At 46.3% G+C, this 24,652-nt stretch overlaps 1 protein-coding gene across 13 annotated transcripts in view; it reads left to right on the top strand.

Annotated features, from left to right (window-relative positions):
- Nucleotides 1-24,652, top strand: part of DPP6 (dipeptidyl peptidase like 6) — a 1,146,153-nt gene that overhangs the window by 886,262 nt on the left and 235,239 nt on the right. For 12 of the 13 annotated variants that reach the window (NR_157195.2, NR_157196.2, XM_047419951.1 and 9 more), the window contains one exon: nt 3,427-3,479. The exons of the other annotated variant lie outside the window; for it this stretch is intronic. Coding sequence is in view for 10 of the 12 variants with exons in the window: in XM_047419951.1 (XP_047275907.1) it covers nt 3,427-3,479 (53 nt within the window). In the remaining 2 variants the exon portion in view is untranslated. The remainder of the gene's footprint in view (nt 1-3,426; nt 3,480-24,652) is intronic. 13 annotated transcript variants of the gene reach the window in all.

A 24,652-nucleotide genomic window follows, 5' to 3' on the forward strand; every position in this document is an offset into this window, starting at 1 on the left:
TTAATCCAGTCTATCATTGTTGGATATTTGGGTTGGTTCCTACCCAAAGGATTATAAATCATGCTGCTACAAAGACACATGCACATGTATGTTTCAGCCTTTCTTATAGGCGATTCCATTTTCCAGATATTCTATTCTAGTCCCCATGCATACATTTTGGTTTTGATTTGGTTTGGTTTGGGGGTTTCTTGCCTAACGGTACAGACGAACAATTAAAAGCAGTTCTCTCCTCCTCCTCCTCCTCTTCTTCCTCCTCCTCCTCCTCTTCCTCCTCTTCCCCTTCTCCTTCTCCTTCGTCTCCTTCTTCTCCTTCTTCTTCCTTCTTCTCTTTCTTCTTGCCATGGCCTTGATAGGGTTATTTTAATTGCTCTCCCCGTTTCTTATGAGCACCACTTAAAAGATATCCACAGAGCTGAATTGCAGGGGTGTGTAGTGGTATATTCAAAGATGAATGTAAAGATGTAACTCTAGGTGTTTGTTTTGGGGATGGCATAACCAGGGAATGAATTTAAATCACTGTTTCTAGATGGATTAAAGCAATGGACCTTCAACCAGGAAAGATGGCAGCTATTCTTACTTTGCATATTTATTATATTTGTTGCTATACTGAAATTTTCAGCTGACAACAGCGAACACGGACTTCTGACTTGAGAGTTACGAGATACAAGCTTGGTTCAGGCAATTTCCAAGGGATTGTTTAGAGAGAGACAGAACTCAGGTCAAATCCCACTTGACTTTAACTTAAATTCCTTAAGATTTTATTTTCCTACCTGTACAAATAGGACAATAATATCTGCCTCATAAAGACTAAATGAGTTCTTGCATGGTAAGGAGCTGTCAGAGTACCTAATATGTGGTACGTGCTCCATAAATGCCACCCACCCCCACCACCCACTTCAGCTCACCACTGTCACCATCTCTGGGACTTGGCTTGGCTGAAGTAATATCAAAGGCTTCCTCTGAGTGCTTCAGTCTGTGAGTGGTCCTCTCCCAGCCCCTCACCACCTCTGTCCTGATACTATTTTAACAAGGAATTTATCTGTTTGCTTTAGAAGTTGCTGGAAGTTTACAAAGAAGAAACCCAGTAGTTCAGAAGAAACGTATCTAAATCTGATTTTAAAATTATCTGTTTTCTCTGGATTTAAACTAGCTATATTACTTACCTATTGCTGTATAAGAAATTACCCCAAACTCAGTGGCTTAAGACAGCCAACATTTAATCTTGCAGTCACTGTGGGTCAGGAACTCGAGAACATCTTAGCTGTGTGGCTCTGGCTCAGGGTCCCTCATGAGGCCAGCATCAAGACATTAGCCAGGGTTGCAGTCATCCGAAGGCTTGACCGGAGATGGGGAACCCATTTCCACATCCACTCACATGGCTTCTGGCAAGAGGCAGTCTAACGGGTATGAGCCTCAGACTCTCCATGGGGCTGCTTGAGTGTCCTCACAACATGGCAGCCAGCTTCCTCAGAGCAAGTGATATGAAAGACAGCAAGAAGGAAGCCACGATACCTCTTATAAGCTGGCTGCAGAAGCCTAACACCCTCACTGCTACTGTATTCTGTTCATGAGGGTCACTAAGTCAGCCAACACTAAAGGGTACAGAATTAGGTTCCATCTCTTCTCTTCTCTCTCCTCCTCTCCTCTTCCCCCTTTCTCTTTCCTTTATCCTCTTCTTCTCTTTCTGTGCCTCAGTTTCTTACCTGACCAAAGGTAACTTCTGCCCCCTAGGGATGCTATGAAAACAAAGTGAGATCAATCATATGAAAAGGCGGTTTTGGAGGGAGAGTTCAGAAACTCTATATAATATACCATATACCATAACCATGGAAACCTGAGATCAGCTCTGTCTAGCTTCCTGCTCTTGCATCTGAAGAAGCCGTTCCAGCTCACACAGGCATGGCTTAGTCACAGTGCAGCATGGGGTCCTTTAATGGGTCCTCTCTGAGCGGTGACCTGCTCAGGACACAGGAGCCAGCACCAGGCCCTTCCTTCCTTCTCCTGGGCAAGCAGCACCACTCATCCCGGCAGAAATAGAAAAAGGAGTTAAGTTCCTGTGTTCCTTATTAGATTGCTGTAGCAGCTCCATAAAGCTCTCCTAGACAGTCCTGTCTGTTAGTGGCTGTTTCTTTATGACTAAAGCAGCACTTTCCCATCTGCTGCCCTCAAAGCAAGGGGCCCCGGGCCGCATATTTCTGGTTCAGGAGTCTCAAGATCTCTGAAAGCACCAGATTGTTGGGATTTAAGTGCTGTTGTTTATTTTTATATCTGGGTCCTGTTCCTCCAAATAACTCCAAGACCATTGTGATTTTCGAGAAGTTAATTCAGTGGTGCAGGCTAGGTAGGGAATGGTGGTATTAGCAAATCCTACCTGTTTTCTTTGCAAGCTCATTTCCATCATTGGTCCTCCAAATGCATTTCCCTGTTCAAAGTACTCTACCTTGGATATGTCTGCCTTTGCCTCCACGTCCCTCACCTATTATCTTTAGAAAGGTGGTTTTAAATGTTGGTCACTGAACATTTAGCCACATAGGGCACCAGCTCTCAGAGGTTTCACAAGTAAAGGAAAGGGTTGGGGGAAATGAAATATGGTTCAACGCAACAGAGTAACCCACATATTCCGTATGTTCGACAAGGTCTCTACCCAGGAGGCTGGCGATGAAGGATGCTAACATTTCTTGAACCGCCATCTTCTCCCTTCTTTTGGGTAACCCTCGAATTCTGCTTATGGTTATCTATGGATTGTGGAGTCATTTCCTGGCTCAGGAGGTTAAGAAAGGCGTCCGAGATTTGAGGGTTACAGGAGTTTGGAAGCACTGTTTTTCTGGTTTTCTGTTACCTCCATTTTAAAGCCGTGATACTTCCAACTGCCCTTTTTTCAGTAAGTTCTTGTTGACTACTCTCTTGAAACCAAAAGATGCATATCCCGTTGTACAGGGGGTCAAAAGTGTGCCCAATTAAGCCTGCCTTGACTTCAATATTGCAACTCACTGAAGACACACAGTGGAATTTCTGGTGGACCCCTTCCCATAACCCACAGGGAACTCTAGCCGTACATGGGTCTTACTGACCCGTTGGGTCTAGCTGACGGTGCCTGATGGTCTCCAATGACCAAGGTGTCCTCATTAGTTCTGTGCTATATTTAGTTAAGCCTGAAATCTGTGCCCCTAATTTAATCACACACCAGGTAGCCATGGAGATGACATCAAGCCTCTGGCTGCCCTATAAACCATTGCAAATGCTGAAAATAAAATAAACAGGATATGCAAATTGACTTCCTAAGTAAATAAAAGACTTTGTCTCCAGGTGTTGGGATTAGCTGCTTTTGGTTCACTGATGTTTGTTAGGATTCACAGTGATTTGAAAAATATCATCGTAACAGCCTTTGTCTCAATGCCTACCTTTTTTCCTTTTTGTCTGTTGCAGATATATCAACACTCGTATACTGGATATTACGTCCTGAGCAAAATTCCTCATGGGTAAGAGTGTTCTTTTCTTTCTTTTAATTAGAAATATGCAGGGCAAAGTGAAGGGTAGAACATGGACGAGCTGTTTAACCCTTAGGGCGGGAAATGGCGTTCCAGTTCTCACAGCCAAGGGTGCTGGTATCGTGGCACCTCTGGGACTCTCCCTAGATAATGACACTAAGGATGTCAGGGGGTCACTTGAGTCCACTCACTTCCCCATTTGTGAAGCCCCCTTCCTAGAGCAACTCTGCCCTCTTCCTGTGCTGGTTCCTGCAGTTGACCCTGGAGGTTCTTCAGAGCCGGACATTCCCCTCTGCTTTGTAATCACCTGCAGCCTCCTCTCAGGCAAGGTGAGGTGGCCCTTGGCCTCCCACGAGGGTTCCTGGTTATACCCACACTAGCAGAATAGAAGCCTCTCTCAGCCCACCACATGTCATCAGAGACAAATCTGGAACATATCTATGGGATTACGGTAAACTACTCTGGTCAGACATTCAGCAGTGCATTGGGAATGGGTTGGGCAAGTGGTATTAGTGCTGCTCTACCCATCACTCCGAGGGGGTTTCAGCGGCGTGTTGTTCTTGTTTTATTGTCCTTTCTGAGCTTGGCTGTGCTCCCAGGGCCGGGTTTCAGTGCCTGCTTTTGACTGGGCCCCCCGGCTTCATTCTTTCATGACCTCACATTGCACTGCTAACCTCATCTGGTCTCTCAATAATGTATTGTCCAGAGCAGGAGCGAGTTTAGTTTTCAGTGCTGGGCAGGCGTCCCCCACACGACCCTCAGATGCCTGATCAGCTTCACCTTTGGAACCCAGAGCAGAAAAGACATTGGTTAGGGTTTGGTGAAACCACATGTTGAGTCAGACACAGATGAAAAATGGTTGCAGAACTAGGAAAGTCTGTCGAGGAGAATTTTTTGTTGTTTTATCTTCATTATTTCTTCGTCTCCTCTTCCCTCCTCCTTCCCTCCCCTATTCTCATTCCCTTCTCCTGGCCTTCCTGTTCCCCACCTCATGTTTCTCTTTCCTGTCTTCTGTGGTTTCTACTGTCATGCTTTGCAAAGGTGAGGTGCTCAGGAAAGGTTGATAAAGAAACTGAATTGTGCTGCAGATAGTGTCATGTAGGCTCCTGTGAATATCTAGGTTGAGGCATCCTCATTTCCCAAGCAAATTTTAACAGCAGGAGTGGCTAGAAAGCATTTTTCCATAGGTGAGCATTAATCACAGCATGAGCGTTTATAGCTGCTGCTCTCTGTTTTCTACTCAGCTTAGAATACAGGCAAGTCCTTGGAAAACAAACTCGAATAAACTAATTTAATGTGGGCTTTAGACAAAGGGAAGACGCATGTGGATCTTCAGCAAATTGTGACCAATAGTTTCTGTTAGATTATTAGAAAAGTGAAGCCCAAAGAAAGCAAAGATGGCCCAAGTTGCAAAAATAAAGTATTCATACAAATTTTTCATTAAAAGTATGTTTTAAATAGAAACCCAAATATTCTTCAGTAAAGAGGAATTATCCCATTCTTTCCCAAGCAGATATATATCTTCAGAGGTCATGGCAGGCAGGACTATAATTATGCCTTGAGATTTATCTGCCCCTTCTGGGAACAATAGAATTTGTTGTAGATGATAGATATTTCGTTCCATCTTATATCAATTTGTAAAACTCGAAACTCTAAAAGCAGTTGATGCCTAACGTATTGTGTTAATATTTTACTGCATCAGTCAGCATTTGGAGGAAACAGATTCTAGGAACTTGGCACAGGAGTTTGCTGAACAAGCTAGCAAAGCTCAGGCCATGATAGTCTGTGTTGAAGGCTCGGCTTCTGCACTTAGATACCTGGAGCCTGGTGATGATCTGCCTTATAGATGACCCCAACACGGAGGGAGCTGCTTCTGGTGTCTTTAATGGAATCAGAGCAAGAATAATGCCCCTGGTTTATTGGTTAGCTTTCATATACCTTTATCCCTGTTCAACAACCTGCAAGAAAAGCATCCTTATTTCCATTTTAAGTGAGAGCTCCAAGAGGTCATCACCTTCCCCTCACCTCCTAGCTACTGTATGCTTGAGTCTCAGCGTAAGTCAGGCTGACTCGAAATCCCATGCTAGTAAAAAAACTCGTGGCTCACACCTGTAATCCCAACACTCCGGGAGGCCAAGGTGGGCAGATCACTTGAGGTCAGGAGTTTGAGACCAGCCTAGCCAACATGGTGAAACCCCATCTCTACTAAAAATACAAAAATTAGCCAGGCATGGTGGTGCACACCTCTAGTCCCAGCTACTCAGGAGGCTGAGGCAGGAGAATCGCTTGAACCTGGGAGGCTAGAGGTTGCAGTGAGCTGAGATTGCACCACTGCACTCCAGCCTAGGTGACAGAGTGAGACTCTGTCAAACAAAAACAAAAACAACAATTGGGATTAATTCAAAGGTCACAATGCAGAGAACAAACGTGATAGCTATAAAGATGAGATTTTTTAGTGACATACTACTTTCTCTTCCTAGGGTTCTTATAGGATTGAAAGATGTAGCAAGTACATTTATTGGAAAACAACCTCTGGGGGTGCCAAAGTCAGTGTCCCACCCTGTCACCATGTCACTGAACACAGCGCCCCTGAAGCGGCGTTGCTCAACCTGCTCAATTCTTCCTCTTTGTCATAAGGCCATTGATGAGAAATTAGCCAATTAATTCATTGCAAATATTGTCAGAGTCTTATTTGTCTTAATGAGACAGTGGATCTCTGAGCGGTATCTCCGTAGGCCTGGAGCTTCGTGACCCCTTGGTCATCACTGTCACCGGTGTGCGTGCTCCACCAGGTGGCAGAAAAAGAACACAGCCCGGAGCTCTAAGTCTGAGGATCTAGGTGGGTTTTGGATAGGGAGGAAAGCACAATTGTCTTTTAAAAATAAAAATGTCCCTACTAAAATATTTGAATATACATTATTCATGTAGAAGAAAACTAAGAGATTTTCTTAATTTAGAAAACACATATCTGTACCTTTTTCACTAATTCTCATCTTTCCTTTCCTCGCTCCTCCCTCTAAATTAAAGCCAGAGGCCGTGCAATCTTCAGGATGGTTTTGTCATTTATAGCTTGATTTTTTTTTCTTAGCTTCAGTCTTTGCAACCAGCCAGAGAAAATGGTCTAATTAATGTTCTCATGCCCTCTGATTTCTGTTGTCCTTCCTTTTGGCAAATGGCAAAAGAGTTTCAGGACGGACTACCCCTTTCCCATCCCCCTCTCACTCCCCAGTCCCCGCTGTTAGCTTCCTTCCTCCGATGGCTGTGACCTCTATAGCTGGGGCCAGGTAGAGTTCTTTCTGTGTGGAAGGTGGGAGTTGCAATGAGACTCCCAAGACAGCTGAATTTTGATATAATCAAAAATCTATTACCTAAGGGTAGGTTTGTTTGACTTTGACATACCAAGCTTCCAAAAATTGTATTCTTAAATTGTATCCTAAAAGGACATATGCCTTTTACAACAAATCTATATTTTAGCGGAACTAAAGCTAGTTATTTTTAACATAAAGCATTTCACTAGAAGTTTTTATATCAGAATTTTAATAAAATAAGGAATCTTCCATGGTGGAGTCAAGGATCTGTTAGGTGTTTCCATATAAGTATTTTTGTAGACTTGGCTACTGCATGACATTTTCCTGGCATGACTTCTTTTTCTAGAATTAGTTTTGTCTTTATATTTTTTAGGGTCTAAAGCCAAAGGCAAAATTATCTATATTTATGTCTATTATCTATCTACCTAGCTTTCTATCTATCTATACACACACATATACATAATACACACTTTTAATAATAGTAATAATATATTTCTAAAATGTAGTCTCATATCCAATAGGATTGTTCTGAAAGACATATGGACTTTTTTCTATAACCGAAATCAATTTGAAGAAAAATTGGTCCTATCACTTTATTATGTAATGTTGGCAATTAGGGGTCTGGCAAACTCAGAACTGTAATAGAATAGAAACTGCTGGGTGTTCAAAGGCATTTTTTTACGTGACTGGCCATGTTCTGTGGATATTGTTGCTCTAACTTTGCTTACCTACTCGTAATTTTCAGGCACCAAACAAAACTGTGAAAAAATTGTGTTCCTTTAGAATTGTAGTTGACTTTTTAAAGCCATATTCTGTATCTGTGGAAATAGGAAACTGAGACATCACTTCCTTCTACCTGGAACTGCTCTCTAAGTTTATAGACTGAGATCCAGAGGAGCATTCTGTTTATTTGGGAAGTAGATATCTAGGTCGAGAATGTACAGTGCCCAGTGCCAGCCTAATAGCATCATGCCAGGCAGTGACTTAGACCCTGCAGCCACATAGACCTGAACTTGAACCCATCGTGCTGCTGACTTCTGGTTGTGTGACCTTGAGAGTTGTTCTACTTCCATAGGTCTTAGGATCCATATAAGAAGATCATAATAATAGTGCCCACTTTGGCCTGGCATGGTGGCTCATGCCTGTAATCCCAGCACTTTGGGAGGCCGAAGCAGGTGGATCACCTGAGGTCAGGAGTTTGAGACCAGCCTGGCCTGTTGCAAAACCCCATCTCTACTAAAAATACAAAATTAGCTGGGCATGGTGGCGGGTACCTGTAATCCCAGCTACTCAGGAGGCTGAGGCAGGAGAATCGTTTGAACCCAAGAGGCGGAGGTTGCAGTGAGCTGAGATTGTACCATTGCACTCCAGCCTGGGAGACAAAGCAAGACTCCATCTCAAAAAACAAAACAAAACAAAAAAATTAGTGCCCACCTCATAGGCTTGTTAGAAGAATTAAATGGAATGGCTGGGTGTGGTGGCTCACGCCTGTAATCCCAGCACTGTGGGAGGCTGATGTGGGTGGATCACTTGAGTTCGAGACCAGCCTGGCCAACATGGTGAAACCCCATGTCTACTAAAAATACAAAACTTGGCCGGGCTTAGTGAGGCTGAGGCACAAGAATCACTTAAACCTGGGAGTCGGAGGTTGCAGTGAGCTGAGATTGTGCCACTGCACTCCAGCCTGGGTGGGAGAGCGAGACTCCATCTCAAAAAAAGAATTAAGTGGAATGATATATGCAAAACACCCAGCAAAGAATTTTGCATCTAGTGAGTGATTAGTTAATATTGTAGTATGTACCCAATATATATTTGTAGTCTTATAATTAAATATTATCAGACTTTAGTTTCTAGCCATCTTGAAAATCTTTTCTGTTACAAATGAAGGAATAATATAATCCTAAAATCATACAATTCTCTTTAATAATTTTTCTAAGCTGAGGCTTGTTTCATGACACTCAGGTAATTATAATGTCTTTGTAATTTTAATTTCCCTCTTAAAAGAAGTATCTATGGCCTCAACTGTCTACAATTCTCAATACTCAATAATTTTTTTTATATCATCTCATTCTGACCTTCTGCAATTAACTTTCCAGCATTCTTGTTTTGCCTCCAATGGAAGCAGAAAAGATACTGTGTCAGCAAATACTTATTGAAATACTGTCTGGAGCAATGAAAGCATGGTTGCTATCCTTAAGAAATTAAAAATCTTGTTGCAAAGGAAAGATACAGACTTATATAATAAAATGTTATAAAGTCTGTTAAGTGAGTAATTTCTTTTTTTTTTTTTTTTTTTGAGACAGAGTCTCACTCTGTTGCCCAGGCTGAAGTGCAGTGATACGATCTCAGCTCACTGCAACCTCCGCCCCCCAGGTTCAAGCAATTCTCCTGCCTCAGCCTCCTGAGTAGCTGGGACTACAGGCACCCACCACCACTCCTGGCTAATTTTTTGTATTTTTAGTAGAGACGGGGTTTCACCGTGTTAGCTAGGATGGTCTCGATCTCCTGACCTCGTGATCTGCCCACCTCGGCCTCCCGAAGTGCTGGGATTACAGGCGTGAAGTGAGGATTTTTAACACTACCCACCAAAGAAGGAGGGGAGGGTTGAAGGTGTCACCATCATAAACAGTCTCAAGAAGGAAGTTTGACTTGAAGTGAGCCTGATAGCTGAGTTTTTGTTTGTTTGTTTCTTTACTTTTTAATAGATGACAGGAGGGAGATACTCCAGGCAGGGTAAAACATGAAATGAACTTGACCTTTGCATGAGCCAACACTTCCTAGAATTAATGAGGTGCCCTGCCAGGCTGCTGCTGGAGTGTTCACGTGGGACTCAGCATGGGTAGGCATAGGGTTAGGTAGGCTTTAGGAGGTACCTAGAGTGCAGACAACTGAAATACTCAGTGTTTAAAACCCAGTAGTATTGGTCTTTACAATAAGAACATAGCAACCTTTTGGAGCAGAAGAGGAATGTGATGAAAACAGTAGGCGCAGATTAGTTTTGTGCTTATGTATAGCATACACTGAAGAAAAAGGAAGATCAAAATTCTGGATTCAATTAGCAGCCAGGTTGGAATGGTGGGTCGGGAGCTCAGCCAATGTAGAAACCACACTAATTGTGATTATGAGTAGCTGGTGTTCTCTTGGAAAATGAAGACAGATTTCAAGTGTTTATATTCCATGTCCCTCTAATTAAATCTGTGGCAGCCTGGGCTCCTTGTGAGTTGAGCCTGGTGCCATCCTGAGAGGTCTCTCTACCATGAGTGGTCTGTAGGTAGTGAGTTCAGGAGGGCAGCGATGAGAATTCTCAGCACCCATGTTGGTTAGTGCATTCCTTTCCAGCCCTTTCTTCCTGTGTGTGAGTCTCCAGGGCCTGGCTGCTGCACACACGGAGATAGGCTTTGGCTGTGCAGAGCAAGCTACCTTCACAGCTGCCGGAAGTTACAGAACTAGGATTGTGTGTGTAAACTGGGGAAGCACCAGTGTGAAGCAAAAATGCAGAAGAAATCTTAAAATGGCTTTTTTTTTTTTTTTTTTTAAGATACAGAGTCTGGCTCTGTCACCAGGTTGAAGTGCAGTGGCGCGATCTCGGCTCACTTCACCCTCCACCTCCCAGGTTCAAGCAATTCTTCTACCGCAGCCTCCTGAGTAGGTGTGACTGCAGGTGCACACCGCCATGCCTGGCTAATTTCTTTTGCATTTTAGTAGATACGACGTTTCACTGTCTTGCTCAGGGTAGTCTCGAACTCCTGAGCTCAGGCAATCCACCCGCCTTGGCCTCCCAATAAAATGGCATTTTATGTGTCTGTACCATGGCATTGAAGAGGGGAGAATTCCACTGTTACTTGCTTTTTTTGTTTTGTTTATTTGTTGGTTTTTTTTTTTTTTTTTTTGAGAGGAAGTATTGCTCTGTCGCCCAGGCTGGAGTGCAGTGGTGTGATCTCTGCTCACTGCAAGCTCCGCCTCCCAGGTTCACACCATTCTTCTGCCTCAGCCTCCGGAGTAGTAGCTGGGACTACAGGCGCCCACCACCACGCCCGGCTAATTTTTTGTATTTTTAGTAGAGACGGGGTTTCACCGTGTTAGCCAGGATGGTCTCGATCTCCTGACCTCGTGACCCGCCCGCCTCGGCCTCCCAAAGTGCTGGGATTACAGGCGTGAGCCACTGCGCCCGGCCTGTTACTTGGTTTTATGGATTTTCAGAACTGTGAACAACTCATACATCTGCCTGTAAGACTTGGTCTCAGCCATTTCTCCCTCCCCTTCTCCCTTCCCCTCCTGTCCTCCTTCTATCCCTCCCTCCTGCTGAAATCCAGACTTCTAGTAACCATCACCAAAAAATGTGGACTTTAGAGTCAAGGAGATCTGGGCGTAAATCCCCAGTCTTCGTTTCTACTTGTGTAGTCATGAAACAGTTCCTTTGCTCCTCTGGGCACACTTACTCCATCCATATATTAGTTGCCTAATGCATGGGGTTTATGGTGAAGTTTCTGTGAAACACTGTATGATGAGGTGATGTCTTTAAGGGCCTGCTTTGGTTCATAGAAAATACTGAGGGTTGCCAGGCGCGGTGGTTCACGCCTGTAATCCCAGCACTTTGGGATGCCAAGGCGGGTGGATCACAAAGTCAGGAGATCAAGACCAGCCTGGCTAACACGGTGAAACCCTGTCTCTACTAAAAATACAAAAAATTAGCCAGGCATGGTGGTGGGCACCTGTAGTCCCAGCTACTTGGGAGGCTGAGGCAGGAGAATGGCGTGAACCCGGGAGGTGGAGCTTGCAGTGAGCCGAGACTGTGCCACTGCACTCCAGCTCGGGCGGCAGAGTGAGACTCCGTCTCAAAAAAAAAAAAAAAAAAGAAAATACTGAGGGCTCTATTCATGGTGGACACCAAGACCTTCCATAATATGGCCAAATCTAATTAGCCACCCTTCATCAAATTTCCCTAAATTTGGGACAGAAAATAAATCTCATACTCACTGTTAACTCTGACCAATTGACAATGACTTCCTGGAGCTCTACATTTAAAAATAGACTAAAACCATGCCCAGGCTCTTTAGGAAAGAATGCCACAATCAGTGAGTTTTGCCTCTGAGGTTTCTATTCTCCCATCCGGCTGTGTAAGAATGAATCACATCACGCAATGTGTCCAGTCATTGCTCCCAAACCCGGAATGTGTTTCTGGTTATCCACACCTCTATTGACTTCATTCTCCTCCCCACCACACGAGCCCCCTCCCACACATGCGCACTACAGAAATGTCCTGGTCATTGTGCCTCTCATACTCAAATCCTTCTGACCCTTCAAGCCACAGCGTCAAAACCTCCTTCTCTAAAAAAAACCTGAATGCTGAGAGTCAATACTGCTTCTTATTTCACGCTAGAATTTATCGTTTTGTTAGATGGCTACTTCCATTGTTGTAGATAGAATTTTTCTAAAGGGGATATTTAGGAATGCTTTCCATATCCATGTATTGCTTGACTTCTTTCTCTCCGTCATTCTAAGTTGTCAGAGAGAGGGGTTGGGTGGGAAGGGTGTGGACTCTGCCTGTAATACCAGTAGCTGTTGCACAGGGTGACACTGTGACTTTGAATTGCAAAAGTGGCGAAAGAGGCTGCACCAACAGGTCTTATGCTCTTTCCAGGTGCAGGTCTCAGATAACAAGCTGAAGGTAGTCAGTGACTGGAATGTCATCGGCCACCTGCAAAGGGAGTCATTGCAGCTACTCTTTTCAGTGGAATCATTTAGTTCCCTCAGGGACTTTCTTAGAAAGTCTAAAAGATTTTCAAACAAACAAGTCTCTTTGAAAATGAGGTGAAAATGCCCAGGAGTCCTCATTTGGTCAGGCTCCTTGTTCATCTTAAACTCTACACCCATGTCCCTGGTTCCTGATACTGGGGGACCCCATAAATGTTGGTTAATCACTGGAGGAAATGAATTAAGGAACTAAGCCATGCTGAGGAGCAAGAATGTGTGTGCTGGGGCCCCACCACAAATGGGTTAAATAAGAGCCTCTGAAGAGGGAACCTCAGGATGGCTTTGAAGGCTACCTGGGTGATTTTGGTGTCCAGCTGGGGTCATCTGGCCTGCTCGCCCCTTTACTTGCTGCCCTTGACAAGTGACACCCAGGATTGCCGTGGAAGCTGAGAAATAACACTTCTGTCTGAATATGCCAGTAAAGTTTCCTCTCAGGCATTAATTTCCTTGTCCACTCAAGAAACTTGGAGAAATAAGGGTAGATCTCAGATTAACCATGTTCTTGGGGATTTACTTAATGATATTCAGTAAAGGGGTTATAGTATCAAAGTCTGCAGCATGGAGATGAAGCAGAGCCGGCTCTTCCGGGGTCTGTCCACATCAAGGGGCACCAGACGTTGGTTGTGATTGTTCCTGAGCCTGGCCAACCTCACATGTGCCCTGGGCTCCCTCTGGTGAGCTCCGGTCTTCACCTTAACCGCGCATGTTTGCATTGCGGGGAATCTGTGCTTCAGACAGACACGCCAGATGTTACAGGTCACTGCATCTAAGATGGAAGGTGTTCTGTTTATTTATTTATGTTTTAATTTTGGCTGTTGATCACTTTCTTGTGCTGGTGAATCAGCACGCGTGTTGAACCAGCCATTAATCTCCTGGGAGAGAGCTGTTGACATCCTGGAGGGTGGCACTCTTCCTGTTTACAGATGTTAAAGAGAAAGGCCCATGGGTGTCTCCCTGGGTGGCCAAGCCTGGTTCATGTGTGTGCTGTGCTGTGTGTTCCTTCTTCCACACAATCACTGAGCCTGGCCGGGCACAGTGGCTCACGCGTGTAATCCCAGCACTTTGGGGGACCGAGGCGGGCAGATCACCTGAGGTCAGGAGTTCGAGACCAGCCTGACCAACATGGTGAAACCCCGTCTCTATTAAAATTAAAAAAAAAAAAAAAATTAGCCGGGCATGGTGGTGGGTGCCTGTAATCCCAGCTACCTGGGAGGCAGAGACAGGAGAATCGTTTGAACCCTTGAACCTGCGAGGCAGAGGTTACAGTGAGCCGAGATTGTGCCATTGCACTCTAGCCTGGGCAACAAGAGCAAAACTCTGTCTAAAAAAAAAAAAAAATCACTGAGCCCCTCGCAAGTGCCAGGCCTGATGCGAAGCACTGGGGATGGATAGGGAAAGGCCCCACCTGTCCCTTGCTGTCTAGTTTATTTTGTTTTGTTTCTACGTCACCTCCTCTCTCCCCTGTGCTCCTGCAGAGGGTTGGACACAAATACCCCACTGTGTCTGCGCTGGGGACATTGGCCTAAATCAAACATCTAGGGCAGCCTCAGCCAGGAAAGGGCATCACTCAAGGAGAGGGAGCAGGTCAGTCTGTCTGGATAGTGGTGGGAAGAGCATACACCAACACCAACTGTACGTATGTGATTTCAAGTTTATTGTGGTACAATTTACTTCTAATAAAAATCACGCTTTCGGCCGGGCGTGGTGGCTCACATCTGTAATCCCAGCACTTTCGGAGGCCAAGGTGGGTGGATCACAAGGTCAAGAGATCAAGACCATCCTGGCCAACATGGTGAAACCCCATCTCTACTAAAAATACAAAAATTAGCTGGGTGTGGTTTGGGTGCACCTATAGTCCCGGCCACTAGGGAGGCTGAGGCAGGAGAATCATTTGAACCCAGGAGGCAGAGGTTGCAGTGAGCCAAGATCATGCCACTGCACTCCAGCCTGGCAACAGAGCGAGACTCCATCTTAAAAAAAAAAAAAAAAATACACTTTTTAAAGGCATCGTTTAGTAAGGTTTGACAAATAGGTGCAATGAATGACATAAGCTCCCCACAAGCAAGACTCAGGGCAGTCCCACCTGCCCAGAGCATCCTCCATACCCCTCCACCCAGGCGAGCGCTGCCATGCCATCTATCCCACACTTTTGCCTTTTGCCTTTTCTGGAATGTCATGTTGAGGGGGTTGTACAGTGTGTTACCTTCTGCAGCTGGCTTCCTTAGCATAATTGCTTTTGAGATTCACCCGTGTTGTGACAGGTGTCTGCATTCATTTGTTTTTCACTGCTGAGGAGTGGTCTGTTGCATGGATATCATAATTTGTTTCTTCATTCAACATTTCATTGATATTTGAGTGTTTCTAATTCGGGGCTAGTATGAATAAAAGTGCTGTGCACATTTGCACACAGATTTTCATCCAACGTGTTTTCCTTTCTCTTGGGTGAATACCTAGATGTAGAATTCCCAGATCATAAGTAAATGCACCTTTAACTAGATTCTAAAGTGCCCAACTGTCTTCCAAAGTGGCTGCACCATTAAGAACTCTGCCTTTTTCTTAACTCACTACCCCAGGACTGACTTTTTTGACCCCCTGCCCTCCGCCCGGTCACTGTGTATGGCAGGTGGAATCCACCATGCCCTGGGGGTGGTTCCACCTGCAGCTGTGGGGAGAAGCATCTGTGCTCACTGCACATAGATCTGTGCCCTCAATGCCAGCCTGCACCTGCCTTTCTCTACCTGGCACCTGGGGCCTCATGGGGGATGGTGTCCGGCCTGCAGGAGCAGCAGCCTGACTGTGCCATCTCTCATCTCTCCAAATGATCTCTCTGTGGAACTTTCTAAATGACATATCAGCCGCGAAGACAAATAGGAAATAAGAGGCAGGAGGCAAGACAGACACTCCCCATGGAGCGGATTCCACGTGGCCCTGGGCACTCACCTCAGGAGTGGTTGAGAAAGCCTGGTTCCTGCTTGCTCCATGAAGTCCTCACTCCTTGACCAGATTTTGGAGAGAGGAAGGTTTTTCAATAACTGCCCCTCTTGGTAGTCCTCCTAAGGAAGAGCAAAAGAAATAAAACAGATTCAAAACTGTGGGCCTGCGCAGTGATTCATGCCTATAATCCCAGCATTTGGGGAGGTCAACGTGGGAGGATCTCTTGAGCCCAGGAGTTTGAGACCAGCCTGGGCAACATAGCAAGACACCCATCTCTACAAAAATACAATTAAAAAATTAGTCGGATATGGTGGCACGTGCCTGTGATCCCAGAAACTTGGGATGCTGAAGTGGGAGAATCGCATGAGCCCAGGAGGTCAAAGTTGCAGTGAGCTCTGATTGCACCATTGCACTCCAGCCTGGACAACAAAGCAAGCAAGAAGAGAGGAGAGGAGAGGAAAGGAGTGGAGAGGAGGGCAGAGGAGGGGAGGGGAGGGGACTATGCATATCCCAGTAGCCTGGCTCTGGGCTGGGTCTGTCTGTTGCTTAAAGGCTTAAAAAAAGAGCACAGAGCCATCTGCACTTGGACATCCTGGTGACGTGGCCTAACTTCCGACATTGGGGTCCTGTAAAAGAAGATAAGCCATGGTGTTTCCTTAATGAGAAGGCCTTAATTCCAAAGTGAGGGCTGGCAAACCCAACAGCACAGCACTCAGAGGAGAAGACACAGTTGTTGATTGAGTCGAGCTGTCTGGCTTCCCAGGACCCTCAGCTCAGTCACAGCACAGCGTTACCAGGATGTCAGACACCCAAGGGCAGTGCTGACATGCAGCCTGCCACTGTGGCCACAGCACTCGGGTTAAAAAGAAACCAGATAAAATTCGTGTTTCTGCTTGTCCAGACTAGAAATTAATTCAAACCTGGCCTGTAGCAGCTGTCTTCTCTACATCCAACTGGATGGATGAAGGCCGTCCTACCTAGTAGAGGGAGGTTGGAAGGATGAGAACTGTCTACAATTAACCTTTTCATTAGCACAGAAAATTTAGACAACCAAGGTCCCAATTTCTAATGTAAAGGTCAATTTCTTACATCTCTGTGTACATCCTAACTGATTCACCACACCATTGCCCGAAGGTACATTTCTATTGGTTTTTTGAAATGCTAAGAGGAGCTCTCAGGCAGTGTTAATGTATGCACTCACGACTTCATAGGTACCAGTACTGCACTAGCTTCCAGTATAGCACTAGGTACTAGTACTGCACTAGATACTAGCACTGCACTAGGTACTAGCACTGCACTAGGTAATAGCACTGCACTAGGTACTGTGGATTTGAGGGGTCAGAGGGGAAGGAAACCATTCTGATTGTCAAGGAATTTCCTATATAGTTACAGAAACCACATTCATTAGAGAATGAGTAAATTACCTTTGTGCTCCTATTAGACTACATAAGAATTGTACAATGTGATGTCCTGGGGTTACATAAGTATAGTTTTAAATCAACTATATCTGCAGCCTGTGAAAAACCTATTCCCCTTTTTTCCTAGTTGCAGTTCACTCCCCAGTTCGTCTGCACCCTACCTCGATGAGATCTCCCCTTCCGTGGGCTAAACAAAACCCCAAGCAGTTAGCTGTTAATGATACGAGCACCATGCCGGAGCTAGGGCCAAATGAGTCAGAAGAATCCTTTGCAGTGCCGCGGGGCCCTAATTGTGTCAGGTATTTTGCCCAAATTAGCATGGCTGAGGATCGGCTGCTGGTTCTAAAATAGTCTCGAAGGACTGTCTCCAAATTGCTTCGGCAACATTACTCATTCTCAGCACGACTCTGGTTTCCGCCGTCCCAATTTACAGATGGGCAGCCGAAAGGGAAAGGATGAGATGGCTAAACTGAAAGTCACAAAGGAAATCCTGGGCCAACATCACCCCTTGGGGCTTCCTCCAGCTGCGGTCTGTGCCCCCACAGCCCCAGGATGCTGGGCGGTTTTCTCCAAGAATTGGAAACCTTTTCCCAGGGCATCCTCACACAAAGCCCCACTCTGAATAACACGATGATTTCAGGCCTTTTTCTAATCATAAGCCCCCAAATTAGATAAGATCAACATGAAAGGTCTCAGGTATCCCTTAAGAATTTAAAGGAAGGACAGAAAAGGTTGAGCTCTGTAGTGCGTGGAAGAGGAGATGGCATGATCAGGATACTGTCCTGAGAATTAGCAGTAGGATCTTACAGTGAAATAGGGGGCTCCTCCGCAGGCTCCCAACACATCAGCTGGTAATTATGCCCGGCACCAGGATACTGGGGCAAGGCAGAGCCACTGGAACACATCCTCGCCTGCACCCTGCTCTGCTCATTAGCCATAGCATCAAAATCACTTTTGCTCCAAAGGCGTTTTTTTTTTCCTATACTGTACATTCTTTTGTGCTTTCTAATTTATTACTTTTTTTCCCCTACCTGAGCTGTTGGAGATTTAGTGTTGAATGGCTTCTCTGTATTTTTCTTTAGTCTAATTCATTATCACTAAGTCTGTGGTTTTTTTTTTTTTTTGTGATCAATATACACACTTAGATTGGTTTAAAATAATCCCATGGAGAGCCTCATTAGTGTCCTTGGATAATAGATGCAGCTCTCTGGGAGAAGGGAGCGTTTATCAGGGACCACAGTGACAGAGCCCACAAGCACACCTCCCTGTGTGTGTGTTGAACATGCTAGAACATGCACATGTATGTTGTCAGGTCCTCAGGCTGCATGAAGCTGCTACATGTGCACCATGTCCCTGCTGCGTCCCTGCTGTTCGTTCTGAGCACTGTGAGAGCCTGAGGCGTCAGAGTGCAGCTCATTGAGACCCAGACGCCACTAGATTCTCAGTCTTCTGCATGTTTTTCACACCTCTTATGTTTACTGAAACTACATCTTGAGCTGAGTGTTTGAGCAATTTGTTCTCAAGGCCAATATGGGCAAACTCCCTGAGTCGGAGCTGATACCAGCGAACGGCTTCAGAAAGTAAAAAACATGGGAAAGAGGCTGAGAGGAAAGAACGCTCTGAGTGGGAAGAGAGGAGGGAGCACCTGTCTGAACTGGCTCCGTTCACGTCCATTCATTCTTTAAGGAACTTCTCTTTGTCCTTCATAAACTACAGTGTTCCCCTGTCTCCCAGGCTGGGGTCTCATGGCTCTTGCCACAGGCCAAAAAGAAATAAGATTTCCTCTTGGCAACATTTTTTGTTCTGTAATGGGATTTTACTGAAAGGCAGGAGGAAAAAGCCCTTGAGGTGACCAAAAACTTGTTTTTAACACATATGATGTAAGGTAAAAGCTTTAAGAAGGTAAACAGAGCTGGGCATGGTGGCACATGCCTAACGCCCCAACAGCTCGGGAGACCAAGGTAGGAGGATGGCTTGAGACCAGGAGGTTGAAGCTGCAGAGAGCTATGATTGTGCCAATCTACTCCAGCGACAGCATGAGACCTTGTCTCTAAACATAGATAGATAGATTGACAGATTGATTGATAAATGATAGATAGATGATAGATAAATGATAGATAGATGATGGATAGATGATTGATAGGTAGATGGATAGATGACAGATAGACATATAGCTAGATAGATCAATCCATGGATGATAGATAGATAGATAATAGATAAATAGGTAGATAGATAAATGATAGATAGATATAGATAGATAATAAATCAATCCATTAATGGATAGGTGATAGATAATAGACTGATTGATTGATAGATGATAGACTGATTGGTTGAGAGATGATTGATAGATAGAAAACAAACCTGTTTTTTAGTTTCTTCACAGAGTGGCACAAGCATCATCTCATTCCATTTTAGAACATTCCACCCCCACCTCCAAATTATGCTTTAGCATTTACTGAACCCCCCAAACTCATTTCTGCTTCCCCGTCATGTCTTCATTTCACAGAGTTTGTTGAGCACTGATCTTGATATTAGGTTTACAGTGACAGAGAAGACACAAGCTCCCTTTAATTACAAAGATTCCATTTCCGTGTGACTGTGTTTACTACGGTCAGCCCTCCATATCCATGGGTTCTGTATCTGGAGATTCAAGCAACCTCCCTCAGGTCAAATACCTGGAAAAAAAAAAAAAAGGATGGTTGCATCTGTACTGAATTTGTACAGACTTTCTTCCTTGTCATTATTCCCTAAATGATACAGTATCACAGCTGTTTACATTAGCAATTACATTGAATTAGGGATTATAAGTAGTCTAGAGGTGGCTTAAAGGATACGGGAGGATGTGCTTACATTATATGCAAATACCACACATTTTATATCAAGGACTTGAGCATCTGTGGATTTTGGTATCTGCAGGGGTGTCCCGGAACCAATCTTCCATGGATACCAAGGATGACTGTGCTCATATTTGTGATCATATATGTTAAAAGCATCTCTCTGAATTAGAGAGGGAATCTGTCACATCTGTCACTAATATTTTAGAACAGGCCACCCCGATCCATCTTTAGTGAGTGGAGCATCTCTGCCTGAAAACATCTATATCCAAATCTTTCTTTCTTTCTTTCTTTCTTTCTTTTTTTGATACAGCGTCTCGCCCTATTGCCCAGGCTGGAGTGCAGTGACGTGATCTCGGCTCACTGCAACCTCTGCCTCCCAGGTTCAGGCGATTCTCCTGCCTCAGCCTCCTGAGTAGCTGGGATTACAGGCGCATGCCACCACACCCAGCTAATTTTTTTATTTTTAGTAGAGACAGGGTTCCACCATGTTGGTCAGGCTGGTCTCAACTCCTGACCTTCTCTGATCCTCCTGCCTTGGCGTCCCAAAGTGCTGGGATTACAAGCGTGAGCCACCGTGCCCGGCCCAAGTGTTTCATAAGGAAAGGAACTTCTGATACACCATAGAGTGTCTGGGAAAATTTTAAAATTACTAATGGAATATGTGCTCAAATATTGGCCCCTGAGGAAGCATTTATGCCCATGAGGATTCCTGCCCTCAAAAATTTAACTGTGTCATTTAGATATACACAAAAAATGAATATATATGAATATTTAAATGCTACATGAGTTTAAGGTATTACTGACCCTAGCCACTCAGTGACTGGAGATTAGACTAGACCCACTTATTAATCCACCCATCCACTAATTAATTATTCAATTAATATTTATTGAGCATCTACCATGTGTCAGGTTCTCTTTTAGAACTGGGAGTGTATCACACATTTTTATATTACCTTCCATGCTAAGTACATAGGAAGACTCAGAAAACACATATGATTAGACACTGAGAATGCTATTTTTTGGTGCCTTTGGTGATAAAACGTTAGGATCCAGGAAAGCAATTGTTAGGTTTGCCCCCTCACTCCCAAATGCTGTTGCTGTTATAAAGCTTTTCAGTCCCTCAAAATCACTTAGGAAGATAAATGAGTAAACTTCGCTGCACTAATTTACTCTTCAAATTTCAGCATGATTTATGCCCTGTTTTGTTTATTGCTCAAATAAGCAAAATCAGAATGGATTGTGTGATTATTTTGAAATATAGTTAAGTCCAGATCACTTTATTCTTCCTTCATCATTTTTTTTTAACTAATCCATCTCTACCCAGGAGATGATTCATCACACAGCTGCCAGGGCTGCTTTAAAATAAAGGAATAAATAAGAAGAAAGAAAGAAAAGTGAAGGAGGGCCACTACATAGCCCCAAAGTAAATCACTGTACACCTTCCTGCATTCTCTTTCTCTCTGCCTGTCTTCCTCTCTGTCACACACACACCTCTAAGAATTTCAGCAGAATCCGGGACATGCTGGAAAATCATTTGATGCGAGGAATTGGGGCTTAAGCCAAGTGTGCTGCCGTGGCCTAAATGTGCAAGGTGGGGCCAGGGACTTCTCCCGCAGGAAGCCGGCTCAGGCCAGAAGCCCAGGGGGTGGGCAGGGCAGGGGTCATCTCCCCCAGGGTTTGCCTCTGCCTTGCTCTCTGAGGGTCTCCACTTTGTCCCTTCAGGCTTTGACTAAATCTTCACGCAGACACTGGTCAGCTACCTGGCCCTGAGCAAGTCGCTTTGGGCCTTGGTGGAACTGGGAAATGAAGGGACATTCGCTTCCTAGGGCTGCGGTGAGAAATCGCCACAAACTGCGTGGCTTAAAACAACAGAAATTGCCCCTCCCAGTTCTGAAGGCCAGAGATGTGGACACAGTTGAAATGACAGTGACAGAGAAGGGTGTGGAGGAGAGGAGCGGGGCTGCGGTCACGCCCAGGACACTGGATTTTAAAGGGTGGGCAGAGAAGATCCCACAGAGACGAGGACCAGAGAGGGAGGTGGGGGGAGAGCTGGGAGAAGGGGCAGTCGAGAGGGAGGTGGGGGGAGAGCTGGGAGAAGGGGCAGTCGAGAGGGAGGTGGGGGGAGAGCTGGGAGAAGGGGCAGTCGAGAGGGAGGTCGGGGGAGAGCTGGGAGAAGGGGCAGTCGAGAGGGAGGTCGGGGGAGAGCTGGGAGAAGGGGCAGTCGAGAGGGAGGTGGGGGGAGAGCTGGGAGAAGGGGCAGTCGAGAGGGAGGTCGGGGGAGAGCTGGGAGAAGGGGCAGTCCTGAACATCAAGACAGAGAAGCAGCAGCCGCAGCATGTGCAGGGAGAGACCACCCAGGCCCAGCACGGGGAGGCCACGGACTTTGGCACCTCGATGGACACAGAAGATCTTCAGAGAAGCAATTTCAGCTTTAAAAATGGATGGAAGCCATATTGCAGTGGGTTAGGGACAGGAGAGAAGGTCAGAAAGTGGCCCTCAGATTTGGACCACTCACTGGATTGGACCAAGACCGGTAGGCGTTGGGCTGATGATGGGTTAGAGGCTGCGTGGGGAGGAGGTGCTCATGGGTGGGTGGAGAGGCTGCGTGGGAGGAGGTGCCCAGAGATGGGTGAGAGGCTGCGTGGGAGGAGGTACTCATGTGTGGGTGGAGAGGCTGCGTGGGAGGAGGTGCCCACAGACGGGTGGAGAGGCTGTGTGGGAGGAGGTGCCCAGTGATGGGTGGAGAAGCTGCGTGGGAGGAGGTGCTCATGGGTGGGTGGAGAGGATGCGTGGGAGGAGGTGCTCATGGGTGGGTGGAGAGGCTGTGTGGGAGGAGGTGCCCAGAGATGGGTGGAGAGGCTGCGTGGGAGGAGGTGCCCAGAGATGAGTGGAGAGGCTGCGTGGGAGGAGGTGCTCATGGGTGGGTGGAGAGGCTGCGTGGGAGGAGGTGCTCATGGGTGGGTGGAGAGGCTGCGTGGGAGGAGGTGCTCATGGGTGGGTGGAGAGGCTGCGTGGGAGGAGATGCTCGAGTGGGTGGAGAGGCTGCGTGGGAGGAGGTGCTCATGGGTGGGTGGAGAGGCTGCGTGGGAGGAGGTGCTCATGGGTGGGTGGAGAGGCTGCGTGGGAGGAGATGCTCGAGTGGGTGGAGAGGCTGCGTGGGAGGAGGTGCTCATGGGTGGGTGGAGAGGCTGCGTGGGAGGAGGTGCTCATGGGTGGGTGGAGAGGCTGCGTGGGAGGAGATGCTCGAGTGGGTGGAGAGGCTGCGTTGGAGGAGGTGCTCATGGGTGGGTGGAGAGGCTGCGTGGGAGGAGGTGCTCATGGGTGGGTGGAGAGGCTGCGTGGGAGGAGATGCTCGAGTGGGTGGAGAGGCTGCGTGGGAGGAGGTGCTCATGGGTGGGTGGAGAGGCTGCGTGGGAGGAGGTGCTCATGGGTGGGTGGAGAGGCTGCGTGGGAGGAGGTGCTCATGGGTGGGTGGAGAGGCTGCGTGGGAGGAGGTGCTCATGGGTGGGTGGAGAGGCTGCGTGGGAGGAGGTGCTCATGGGTGGGTGGAGAGGCTGCGTGGGAGGAGGTGCTCATAGGTGGGTGGAGAGGCTACGTGGGAGGAGGTGCCCAGAGATGGGTGGAGAAACTGTGTAGGAGGAGGTCCTAGTTGTCTGCATTTCCTTTGGGAGAACAGCCTTAGGGAAAGGAAAGAGACTGGTGGAGCAAAATCCGAGAGGCTGAGGCAGCATAAAAGTCTCTCCTCCATGGAAAAACTTGGAGCCAAAAGCGCACATTCCTCAGTGAAAGACGCCAACCTGAAAGGCTACACTTTGTATGATTCCAACTATGTGACATTCAGGAAAAGGCAGACTTATGGGGGCCTTAAGCAGATCTGTGCTTGCCAGGGTTTGGTGGGGTGGGAAGGATGAATCGGCCGAGCACACAGAGGTTTGGAGACCCAAAAGACGTCTGTATGATCCTGCAATGGCAGGTGCAAGACGGATGGATTTGTCACAACTCACAGAACACACAGGCAAAGGGTGAACCCTAATGTCAGCTGTGGGACTTAGTTAATAATGTTTCAATATTGGTTTATCAATTATACCACATGCACCACACTAATGCAAGATGTTTGTAATTTGGAAAACTGAGGGCAGGGGAAGAAGGAGGATATGGGAACTCTCTGTAGTTCTGTTCAGTTTTTCTCTAAACATGAAACTGCTCTAAAAATATAAAGCTTATTAATTAAAAATAGTAATAAATAAGAAAAGTTTACCAGGAAGGTAAATGGAAAGTATTTGATAGTTCTAGGATGGAACAAAAAAGGAGGTACAGGAGGAAGTGCTGGCCGAGACGGAAAGGGGATGCCTGGTCATTGGAGACTGAGAGGAGGGAGGAGCACCAGGTACTTCAGTGTGTCCGGGAGGAAGCCTTCTGCAGGGAAGCAGGGACCCTGGGCCAAGCTGGAGCCTCCCAGAGGCAAAGGCTGAGAGTGAGGCTGATGGAGAGGGAAGCCCTGTAGGCAAAAGGGAGAGGGAGTGGGTGTGGGAGGGAGAGCCTTCAGTGCTCCTCTGTCTGCCCCACACCTCCTTGTCCCTTTAGAGTAAGGGGGCAGTAGGTACAAGAGAGATGTAAGGAGAGCAGGAAAGATTGGAATTGGCATTGAGGACAGACGTGTCTCACACTCTGGGTGGTTGTGATGATGGGAATGGTTAGTGGTCAGCTGAGGTTGGAGACATTGCATTTGTCATTCCCAAAGGTCATTCTCAAAGGTCAAGGTGTTGATGTGGAGGAGGTAGATTCGGCATAAAACCAAGTTGGGCATTCGCTAGTCTGGGCAGAGAAGGAGTTGTGTGAGGAAAGCCATTCAGTAGGGGATTGGAGCAGAGGATGAATGACCACCAAGTGGCTCATCCAAAAGGGAATTCCCA

Source organism: Homo sapiens, chromosome 7 (assembly GCF_000001405.40).
Source record: "Homo sapiens chromosome 7, GRCh38.p14 Primary Assembly".
Lineage (NCBI taxonomy): Eukaryota > Metazoa > Chordata > Mammalia > Primates > Hominidae > Homo > Homo sapiens.